The sequence below is a fragment of the Homo sapiens genome, chromosome 7 (genome assembly GCF_000001405.40).
Source record: "Homo sapiens chromosome 7, GRCh38.p14 Primary Assembly".
Lineage (NCBI taxonomy): Eukaryota > Metazoa > Chordata > Mammalia > Primates > Hominidae > Homo > Homo sapiens.
The window spans coordinates 138,046,445-138,058,507 of record NC_000007.14 but is presented as its reverse complement, the minus strand read 5'-3'; the positions used below and the strand labels follow the sequence as shown (position 1 = coordinate 138,058,507).

The following is a 12,063-nucleotide window of genomic DNA, read 5'->3' as shown; positions in this document are numbered from 1 at the left end:
CCCTATTGGTTTTATGCGGAGAAGAGGAAAAAGTGGTGGGTCTGGATGTCAGACAGATAAAGGCTTTGGGAGAGACGGCAGGGGCCGTAGTGGGTAGGGGGGCAGGTCAGAGAGATCTTGAGGCTTCTCCAGTTCAGCATGTCAAAGAACCGTATCTTGGGTTACTGGTTTCTGAGCCCCAGCAACAGGATAATTGTGGAGAGTAGCCTTGTCCTTAAATAAGGTACCAAACTTTCAGGGTGAGGATAAATTCATTGTCAGCAATGCAGCCCAGGTGGTGACTCATTATGTAACTCAGGTCTCTGAACATTGGAAGGACTCCCTTAGCCACTTTGCTTAAGATTTTATAAGAGATCGCTGGAAACAGCAAGATTATGATGGCAGAAGAGTTTCTGAATTTCCCCAAATGTCTTTATATAAGAGAGAGGGGAACTAGGAAGGCAGAAGAAAAAAGACGACAGACATCTTCAATACAACTGGGAACAAAGAAACCTCCATGAAACCCTAAACACCAACAGGTAGGGTTAAATGGCCTCAAAAAAAGCAGGCTCCTATAGAACTCACTTAGATTTAAAGTCTATATAAATCTATGCAGAAGTAGTGGATGGAAGGGACAGAGGAATTCTGATCTCCAGAGAAACCTGGAACACAGATATTCCCCACAAACTCTTTTTTTCTTTCTTTCTTTTTTTTATTTGGAGACAGAGTCTAGCTCTGTTGACCAGGCTGGAGTGTAGTGGTGCAATCTTCGCTCACTGCAACCTCCACCTCCTGGTTTCAAGCGATTCTCCTGATTCAGCCTCCCGAGTAGCTGGGATTACAGGTGCACGCCATGATGCCTGGCTAATTTTTGTGTTATTGTTTTGTTTTTATATATATATAGAGAGATGGGATTTGGCCATGTTGGCCAAGCTGGTCTCGAACTCCTGGCCTCGTGTGATTTGCCTGCCTCTGTGAGCTGGGATTACATGCGTGAGCCACTGTACCTGCCCCCACCCCCCACCCCAAACTCTTGAGTCATCAAAGAGAAGAAATATGTCTGAGTGGAATCCTCGGACAGCAGATGTGAATGAAAGTATCAGTGAGCAAAATCAGTGTGCAAAAATCACAAGCATTCCTATACACCAATAACAGACAAACAGAGCCAAATCATGAGTGAACTCCCATTCACAATTGCTACAAAGAGAATAAAATACCCAGGAACCAAACTTACAAGAGATGTGAAGGACCTCTTCAAGGAGAACTACAAACCACTGCTCAACAAAATAAAAGAGGACACAAACAAATGGAAGAACATTCCGTGCTCATGGTTAGGAAGAATGAACATCGTGAAAATGGCCATACTGCCCAAGGTAATTTATAGATTCAATGCCATCCCCATCAAGCTACCAATGACTCTCTTCACAGAATTGGAAAAAACTACTTTAAAGTTCATATGGAATCAAAAAAGAGCCCGCATTGCCAAGTCAATCCTAAGCCAAAAGAACAAAGCTGGAGGCATCACGCTACCTGACTTCAAGCTATACTACAAGGCTACAGTAACCAAAACAGCATGGTACTGGTACCAAAACAGAGAGATAGACCAATGGAACAGAACAGAGCCCTCAGAAATAATACCACACATCTACAACCATCTGATCTTTGACAAACCTGACAAAAACAAGAAATGAGGAAATTTAATTTAATTTAATAAATGGTGCTGGGAAAACTGACTAGCCATATGTAGAAAGCTGAAACTGGATCCCTTCCCTATACCTTATACAAAAATTAATTCAAGATGGATTAAAGACTTAAATGTTAGACCTAAAATCATAAAAATCCTAGAAGAAAACCTAGGCAATACCATTCAGGACATAGGTATGGGCAAGGACTTCATGACTAAAACACCAAAAGCAATGGCAACAAAAGCCAAAATAGACAAATGGGATCTAATTAAACTAAAGAGCTTCTGCACAGCAAAAGAAACTACCATCAGAGTGAATAGGCAACCTACAGAATGGGAGAAAATTTTTACCATCTACCCATCTGACAAAGGGCTAATATCCAGAATCTACAAAGAACTTAAACAAATTTACAAGAAAAAATCAAACAACCCCATCAAAAAGTGGGCGAAGGATAGGAACAGACACTTCTCAAAAGAAGACATTTATGCAGCCAACAGACACATGAAAAAATGCTCATCATCACTGGCCATCAGAGAAATGCAAATCAAAACCACAATGAGATACCAGCTCACACCAGTTAGAATGGCGATCATTAAAAAGTCAGGAAACAACAGGTGCTGGAGAGGATGTGGAGAAATAGGAACACTTTTACACTGTTGGTGGGGCTGTAAACTAGTTCAACCATTGTGGAAGACAGTGTGGCCATTCCTCAAGGATCTAGAACTAGAAATACCATTTGACCCAGCCATCCCATTACTGGGTATATACCCAAAGGATTATAAATCATGCTGCTATAAAGACATATGCACACGTATATTTATTGCGGCACTATTCACAATAGCAAAGACTTGGAACCAACCCAAATGTCCATCAATGATAGACTGGATTAAGAAAATGTGGCACATATACACCATGGAATACTATGCAGCCATGAAAAAGGATGAGTTCGCATCCTTTGTAGGGACATGGATGAAGCTGGAAACCATCATTCTGAGCAAACTATCGCAAGGACAGAAAACCAAACACTGCATGTTCTCACTCATTGGTGGGAATTGAGCAATGAGAACACTTGGACACAGGGCAGTGAACATCACACACCAGGGCCTGTCATGGGGTGGGGGGAGGGGGGAGGGATAGCATTAGGAGATATAGCTAATGTAAATGACAAGTTAATGGGTGCAGCACACCAACATGGCTCATGTATACATATGTAACAAACCCGCACGTTGTGCACATGTACCCTAGAAATTAAAGTATAATTTTAAAAAGTCAGCAAATAATAACAGGCAATTTATAGAAAGTAACTGCAAATGGCTCCTTAAACCTATTTAAACATGACCAAGTTCACTCATAAGAGAAAAGCAAATTAAACTAAATGAGTTACTGTTTTTCTACCTCTCAGCTAACGAGAACACATTGTACTAGTGGAATTGTGAAATGGCAGAACTGTCTAGGGAGTACAGTTTGGCAATATGTAACCAAAATTTAAAGTGCATATACCCTTTGATCTAATGATTCTAATTTCAGAAAGTTATCCTATAAAAATATTCACGTTCGAAATGACACAATTGCATGGTTATTTATTGGACATTGCTTACAATCCCAAAATATGGAAAATAATTAAAATGTCCATCAATAGGTGAAATAAATTAATGTGCTGCCTGCAAGATACCATGCATCTCTAGAAAAGAAAGAGGCAGCTTTTCATGTATAGATATGGAAGGATCTCCAACATATGTCAAGTATGAAAAAGTAGAATAAGCATAGAATACATGCTCACTTTGTTGCCCAGGCTGCCTTGCTCCTTCAACAAAGATCATTTGACTATATATTGTGGGTCTATTTTTGGGCTGTGCTTTTTGTTTCATTGAATTATTGAACTATTTGCCTGTTATTTTCACCAATATCACATTGTGACTGTACTGATTACCCATGGACTTTTTTTTTTTTTTTTTGAGACAGAGTCTCACTCTGCTGCCCAGCCTGCAGTGCGGTGGTGCAATCTCAGCTCACTGCAACCTCCACCTCCCAGGTTCAAGTGATTCTCATGACTCAGCCTCACAAGTAGCTGGGATTACGAGTGTGTGCCACCACACCCACCTAATTTTTGTATTTTTTTAGTAGAGATGGGGTTTCACGATGTTGGCCAGGCTGGTCTCGAACTCCTAACCTCAAATAATACCATTAAAAAAAAAAGATTTATATGGAGTTCTTTACATAGACTATCTTTAGAAAAAATACAGAAGAAACTGGTAGTAGTGGTTGCCTTTGAGAAGGGTAACTTTCACAAATATAATTAATATTGAAATATGAATTTATGAATTCAATTTAGAGAAAAATGAGTATACATAGAAAAATCTGGAAGAATATAAACAAATAACATTACAGGGAATTTTCACTTTTAAGTTACATATTCCTGTAATGTTTAATAGTAGATAGATGGTAATTTTTTAAAAATATGATGGAGATAAAAGAGAGCAAAAATTGGCTGGGTGCAGTGGCTCACACCTGTAATCCCAGCATTTTGGGAGGCTGAAGCATGTGGATCACCTGAGGTCAGGAGTTCAAGACCAGCCTGGACAACATGGTGAAACCCTGTCTCTACTAAAAATACAAAAATTAGGTGGATATGGTGGCAGGCACCTGTAATCCCAGCTACTCAGGAGGCTGAGGCAAGGAGAATCACTTGAACCCAGGAGGCGCAGGTTGCAGTGAGCACAATTGCACTCCAACCTGGGTGACAGAGCAAGACTCCATCTCAAAAAAAAAAAAAAAAACACACAAAAAACAAAAAGTTAGCATGAGCTTTCATTCAGAGATATGGGTAATAGGACTTACTGTGACAGATACTAAAACTACAAATCATCTAACAAATGTAATCTGGCTTCATGTGTGACATTATTCTATGCAAATGGTACTCTCTGATGTACTCTGTTTCACCTTATAGGAATTCAAAAGCACTTGGCCATACATAAGTTCCATTAAAGTGGGTAAAAGTTTATTTCATCTGATGCTGCTATTATCTAAATCTTTAGCACAACAAAAATGCAATGAGGTCCTAATGAGTTATTTCAGCTATCGTTTTGATTACAGATATTAACAGGTGTTTTAGGAAATTTAAAAATATCCTTTCTGTTTAAGAAAAGTTGTCCAACTTCTTTCTCTGTCTATCAAAATACAAAAGTGGCTCCTAAGGACGCTAGAGGAAGACCATGACACTCTCAGTAATGGTAGCTGTTTTCTTAAGCACAGGACAGCCACCCAGCTTCCCTGTAAATGAATGCCAGGCATTTCTTGATTTTGAGTTGGGTCTGTTGTTTTGCATCCTCAAGTTAACATCAGTCCACAGATCAAAACATAAATCCTATATAGTGGCCTGTCTTTGTATTTTCCAGAATCCAATTGGGTTTGGTGCCATCCCAGAAGGTTTTGTGTATTTGAAGTCATTTCTCATATGAAAGACCAGGGTTCTGAGGCAATATTGGGATTGGAGTGAGGGCTTTGAGGGCTCATCAAGTGTGCTGGCAATACCCGGAACAGATATTTCTTGGCGTGGATCCATCTATGTTATCCAATACAGTAGCCACTGGCCATGAAATTTGGCAAGACAAATTGAGATGTGCTGCAAGAATAAAATACAGACTGGATTTTGAAGATTGGGGGAATAGAAGGTAAAATATCTCACTAACAATGTTTTATGTTGACTACATGTTGAAAATAATTTTGTGATGTATTGGGCTAAACAAAATATATTAATAAAATTAATTTCATCTGTTTCAAAAAAAAAAAGTATCAGTGAGTTGGAAGGAGGATCCAATATGTAGGTGGGCACCAAAAGTCCATGAGTACTCTCTAAGAGGCTGTAGGAGATCAGCAAGTCCTGAGGCAGCCTCATTCAAGGAACTCGGAAATACCCAGGAAAAACTCATTTAAATTGCACAGAAGCATATTTTATGGAAAAGGCTGCCTAGAGCACAACAGAAAATAAGAGCGTACTTAGGAGCGGAAAGGGAGAGTGAGAGAGAAAAATGTTTCAACTGCTGGTGGAATGGGTCCAGAGGAAGCAGATCTCAAAATTGTGGAAATGGCTTTATGGGGAGCCCACAAGAATGAATGTCTTGTCATTCTTTAAATGAGAAGACACATCTCATTTAAAGATGAACAACAGAAAAGAATTACATTCAAGCCCCATATAAATATGCTGAAAGGAAAACAAGGCAAGATGAAAAGGAAGTGAATCACATACAACAAATGGAAAAGTCACATTAGAAAAAAATTTAGAAAATTAGCACAGAGCCGAGCACGGTGGCTCATGCCTGTAATCTCAGCACTTTTGGGAGGCAACCCAGGGGTTCGAGACCAGCCTGGGCAACATGGTGAAACTTGGTCTCTACAAAAGATACAGAAATTAGCCAGGTGTGGTGATGGGCACCTGTAGTTCCAGCTATTTGGGAGGCTGAGGTGGGAGAATTGCTTGAGCCCAGTAGGTCGAGGTTGTAGTGAGCTGTGATTGTGCCACTGCCCTCATCCTAGGCAACAGAGTGAGAAACTGTCTCTAAGTAAATAAATAAATAAACTAAAAGATTGTGTTTCAAATTTTATGTCTTTTAAAACTTGTTTTTGATTATTTATAGTTTCTCTCTGTGAACCACCTGCTCACCAAAACGTGTTGAGAGGTGAAGCCAGCCAGACTTCCTGGGTCGAGTGGGGACTTGGAGAACTTTTCTGTCTAGCTAGAGGATTGTAAATGCACCAATCAGCACTCTGTAAAAATGCACCAGTCAGCACTCTGTGTCTAGCTAGAGGATTGTAAATGAACCAATCAGCACTCTGTAAAAATGCACCAATCAGTGCTCTGTGTCTAGCTAAAGGATTGTAAACGCACCAATCAGTACTCTGTAAAAACGCACCAATCAGCACTCTGTGTCTAGTTAAAGGCTTGTAAACGCACCAATCAGCACTCTGTAAAATGGACCAATCAGCACTCTGTAAAATGGACCAATCAGCAGGACGTGGGCAGGGCCAAATAAGGGAATAAAAGCTGGCCACCCGAGCCAGCAACAGCAATCCACCTGGGTCCCCTTCCACACTGTGGAAGCTTTGTTCTTTTGCTCCTCACAATAAATCTTGCTGCTGCTCACTCTTTGGGTCTGCACTACCTTTATGAGCTGTAACACTCACCATGAGGGTCTGTGGCTTCATTCCTGAAGTCAGCGAGACCACGAACCCACTGGAAGGAAGAAATTCTGGACACATCTGAACATCTGAAGGAACAAACTCTGGACACACCATCTTTAAGAACTGTAACACTCACCACGAGGGTCCGTGGCTTCATTCTTGAAGTCAGCGAGAACAAGAACCCACCAGAAGGAACCAATTCTGGACACAGTATGTCTACACAAAGACTTGTACACTGATGTTCGTAACAGATTTCTTTGTGAGTCCCAAACTGGAAGCAGCACAAAAGTCCATCAACAGGTCAATGGAGAAACAAACTGTGGCATATACAAGCAAGCAAATGCTACCAGGGAGTAAGAAGGAATATAAACTACTTGTATGTGCCACAACGTGGAGGAATCTCAAAATCATTAGGCTGAGTGATAAAGACAGGCACAAAACATACATAAATTGAAATTCTATTTATTTATTTATTTAAAGTAGAGGTCTCACTTTGTTGCCCAGGCTGCCTTGCTTCTTCAACAAAGACCACTATATTTGTGGGTCTATTTTTGGGCTACGCATTTTGTTTTATTGAACTATTTGCCTGTTATTTTCACCAATATCACATTGTCACTGTACTGATTACCCATGGCTTTTTTTTTTTTTTTTTTTTTTTTGAGACAGAGTCACACTCTGTTGCCCTGGCTGCAGTGCGGTGGTGCAGTCTCAGCTCACTGCAACCTCCACCTCCCAGGTTCAAGTGATTCTCATGCCTCAGCCTCACAAGTAGCTGGGATTACGAGCATGTGGCACCACACCCACCTAATTTTTGTATTTTTTTAGTAGAGATGGGGTTTCACCATGTTGGCCAGGCTGGTCTCGAACTCCTGACCTCAAGTGATCCGCCCACCTCGGCCTCCCAAAGTGCTGGGAGTACAGGCGTGAGCCACCAAGCCCAGCCTCCACGGACTTTTGATATGTAGCAATCTCTTTGGTTTTGGCTTACAAAAGGATTGCTACAATCCTTACAAAAGAGGATTGAATTAACCCTCTGCCTTTGATTTTTGTAAGGTACAGGTAGTTTAGAGATCAGACAAAAATTGTTAGATTTTATATCATATATCACATGAATTAGTGATTTTAGTAGGTATGTAGTGGTATCTCAATGTTTAAATTTGAAATTCTTTAATGACATACGATGTTGAGCATCTTTTCATATGCTTATTTACCATCTGTGTATCTTTTTTGGTGAGGTGTCTATTCAGATCTTTTGCCCATTTTAAAACTGGGTTGTTTTCTTATTGTTTAGTTTAAGAGTTCTTCATATATTTTAGATACCAGTCCTTTATCAGATATGTTTTGCAAATATTTTCTGCCAGTTTGTGTTTTTTCAGTCTCTTAACAGTATCTTTCTTGAAGCAGAAGTTTTAAATTTTACTGAAGTTCTACTTATTAATTTTTTCCTTTCATGGGCCATGCTTTTGGTGTTGTATCAAAAAATTCACTGCCAAACCCAAGGTCACCTAGATTTTCTCTTATTTTATAATCTAGAAGTTTTATAATTTTGTGTTTTACATTTATAGTTCTATGATCCATTTTGAGTTAATTTTTATGAAAGGTGTAAAGTCCATGTTCAGATCCAGTTTTGTTTTGTTTTGTTTTGTTTGTTTTGTTTTAAGAGATAAGGTTTCACCCTGTTACCCAGGCTAGAGTTCAGTGGCATGAACTTAGCTCACTGCAGCTTCCAACTCCTGGGCTCAAGTGATCCTTCCACCTCAGGCTCTTGAGTAACTAGGGCTATAGTACTTTTTGTTTGTTTGTTTTTGGATTAGTACTTTTGGTTTGTTTGTTTGTTTGTTTTTGGATGTCTGGTTGTTCTAGCACCAATAATTGAAAAGACTATCTTTTCCCCATTGAAATGCCTTTGCTCCCTTATAAAAGATCAGTTGACTGTATTTATATAGATCTGTTTCTGGTCTGTTGATTCTGTTCTATTGATCTATTTGTTTTTTCACCAATACCACACTGTCTTCATTACAATAGCTTTATAGTAAATCCTGAAGTTAGATAATGTCAGTTGGCTATTCTAGGTCTTCAGCTTTTTATATAAACTTGAGGATTAGTTTGTCGATTTTCACAAAATGAGTTGAGATTTTGATTGAGATTGTGTTGAATATATAAAGTTGGGAGGAACTTACATTTTGACATTATTGAGTCTTCCTATTCATGTGCATGGAATATATCTCCATTTATTTAAATCTCCTTCAATTTTTCTTTATTGAGTTTAGGAAATTTTGAAACTGACCCAATTGTCCCACAGAACTGATGTTCATGCTTTCTTTTGAATAAACGCAGAAACTGATCCTCTCAGTTTTGAAATTTGAGAAAGTTATATTTGTCTTATCTGAGCTCCCTTCTCAGGAAATTAATCATCAGACCTCCCATATAATATCAAAGAACTGAAACTCACCAGGTCACTGCATTTGGACAATGAATTGTCAGACCCCTAACCCATCATGATTGTCTAACCAGCCACCAGCTTCCCACTGACTAACTTCTCTTCCTTACCCCTCCCTAATTCTTGTTTTCCTGCATGTAGTTACATTTCTACTATATAAACCTCTAAGTTTCATTGGTCAGGAAGACAGATTTGAGACTGATCCCCCATCTCCTTGGCTGCAGAGCCCAAATAAAGGCTTCATTTCTCACAATACTTGTTTCAGTGATTGACTTTCTGTGCAGCAAGCAGCAGGAGTACACCAAACCTCTAGGTCATTTTGGTAACAGTTTTCCCTATTCCTAGTTTTCTAGATTGTTTTTGTTGTTCTTACCATGAGTGGGTGTCATAGTTTGTTTGTCAAATGCTTTTTCTGCATCTATTGATATGACTGACCATATGTCTTTTCTTCTTTAGCCTGTTGATGTGATGAATTACATTAAATGATTTTCAAACATTGAATCAGCCTTGCATACCTGGAATAAATCTCAATTATTTGTGGTGTATTTTTTTAATACATTGTTGGATTTGTTTTGCTAATGTTTTACTGAGGATATTTGCATTTATGTTCACGAGACATACTGGTCTGTAGTTCTTACTTGTAGTGTCACTCTCTGGTATTAGGGTAATGTGACCTCATAGAATGAATTAGGAAGTTTTCTCTCTGGTTCTATTTACTGCAAGAAACTGTAAATAACCAATATAATTTTTTTTTAATATTTGGTAGAATCCACCAGTGAAATCATCTTGGTCTGTATTTCCTGTTTTGGAAGGTTAATTACTGATTCAGTTTTTAAAATAAATATAGGCCTTTTCAGATTATCTACTTTATGTATGTTAGTTTGGGTTGTGTCCTTTTTTTTCTTTCTTTCTTTTTTTTTTTTTTTTTTTGCAGTGAGAGAAAAGTGGAATTCAGTTTTATTTTGTCCTCTCTGAAACTTCCATTTATACCATGTCCTCATCTATCAAAGAAGAGGAAGAAAAAGCCCTGCTTTATGCCGTAGAATGCAAGTACTGGTATACTTGTTAGAGGTGGCAGGATGTTTGTTGCTCCAGTTTTTTGGCTTCGAGAGATTACACTTTCGGTACCAGTGTAGTGAGAAATCACTGGCAAACTGCTAGAAATGTCTTCTGGATTTGTCAGTGTATCATTTCATAAAGTGCTCCTGGAATTAAAATCTGCCAGGCTGTCAAAAGTGTCCACACTTTTGCAACAAAGGATAAAAGAATCCCAATGGGTATCACTGGGTCCTGCTCAGCTGGGTCTCATTATTGGCACTGCTGCTTTAACCTTTGAGGCGCTGGCCCTCACCCCAGGTGAAACCTTCTGGCCGTTCTTCAGGTGTGGATTGTAATTTGGATCCTCATCTGGTGTATCAAAAATCACTTTCAAAATAGATGGTGTTTTCAGAATTCTTATTCCACCAGACTGACCAGGAAACAGATCTTCCAAGAAAAAATATATGTATCCAATTGCAATGCCTGGTTAAAAGTTCCTCTGACATGCTCATCCTGTTCGACCTCTAGGCTTGGAAAGTTGTCACAGAAAATGTGCTGTGAAATAAATGACAATGCCCTGAAGTGAAAATCTGGAGGTCTACTTTTATCTGTTCAGAATATCTAGTGAATCGTGGGAGACAGATGAACAGCTTTAGGAAGAAGACGGGGTGTTCTTTAACATTTTCCTGTGTGTGTTTTATTTGTTGAAGGAAACGGTCATTAATAATCCACCAGAAAGGACAGTCTGCTGTCCAGCCTTGGAAACAGCCTTCTAGCATTTGACAGTAACGATAGAAAAATTATGTTAAATAAAAAACGGAATCCAACTGCCCCTCAAAATAAGAACTTTGTTATTAATCTCCATATTTGAAAGTGTTTAAAGATTAATTAAGGAATTGAAGTATAACTGAAAAGGTGTGATCACTTCCAACTGCTGACCCCTCTTGAAACAGCACTCCCTTCTTGGGTCACTGGAGAAGCATTCTCGATGCCAACTTGAACCCTGGAGTAATTTATTTATTTATTTATTTATTTATTTATTTAATTTATTTTTGAGATGGAGTTCCGCTCTTGTTGCTCAGGCTGGGGTGCAATGGCATGATCTTGGCTCACCGCAACCTCCACCTCCCGGGTTCAAGCAATTCTCCTGCCTCAGCCTCCCGAGTAGCTGGGATTACAGGTATGTGCCACCACGCCTGGCTAATTTTGTATATTTAGTAGAGATGGAGTTTCTCCACGTTGGTCAGGCTGGTCTTGAACTCTCATCCTCAGGTGATCCACCCACCTCAACCTCCCAAAGTGCTGGTATTACAGGCGTGAGCCACTGCACCCGGCCACCCCAGAGTAATCTTCGTATGCCCCCACCAACCCTGTGACCAGGGCCTCTGGGCATCCCCAAGGCTCAATCCCCAGTTTCCTGAAGACTCAGTTATATCCAGCCAGGATAATGAGAAGGTGGCACTGCAGCTGCTCACCACGGCAGTGGTGGTGAGAACTCAGGCAGTTGTGTAGGCACGGCTGACTGGCAGGATCTAGGCTGTGCCATTCAAGGAACTGGTCTATTTTATCTAGGTTTTCAAATAGGTGGACATAGATTATTCATTGCATTTTTTTTTAATGTCTGTGGAATTAGTAGTGATGGCCCCTCTTTAATTTCTGATATTGGTAACTGCGGTGAGAAAGCTGGTTGACCACCTCAATCTCACTTTTTCTAGTGTAGAAACTGTTGGTTGAGGAAAGATT

At 39.6% G+C, this 12,063-nt stretch overlaps 1 pseudogene; it reads right to left on the bottom strand.

The window, feature by feature from the left end:
• Window positions 1–10,410: 10,410 nt before the first annotated feature.
• Window positions 10,411–11,255, bottom strand: LOC100420648 (Der1-like domain family, member 2 pseudogene; annotated as a pseudogene).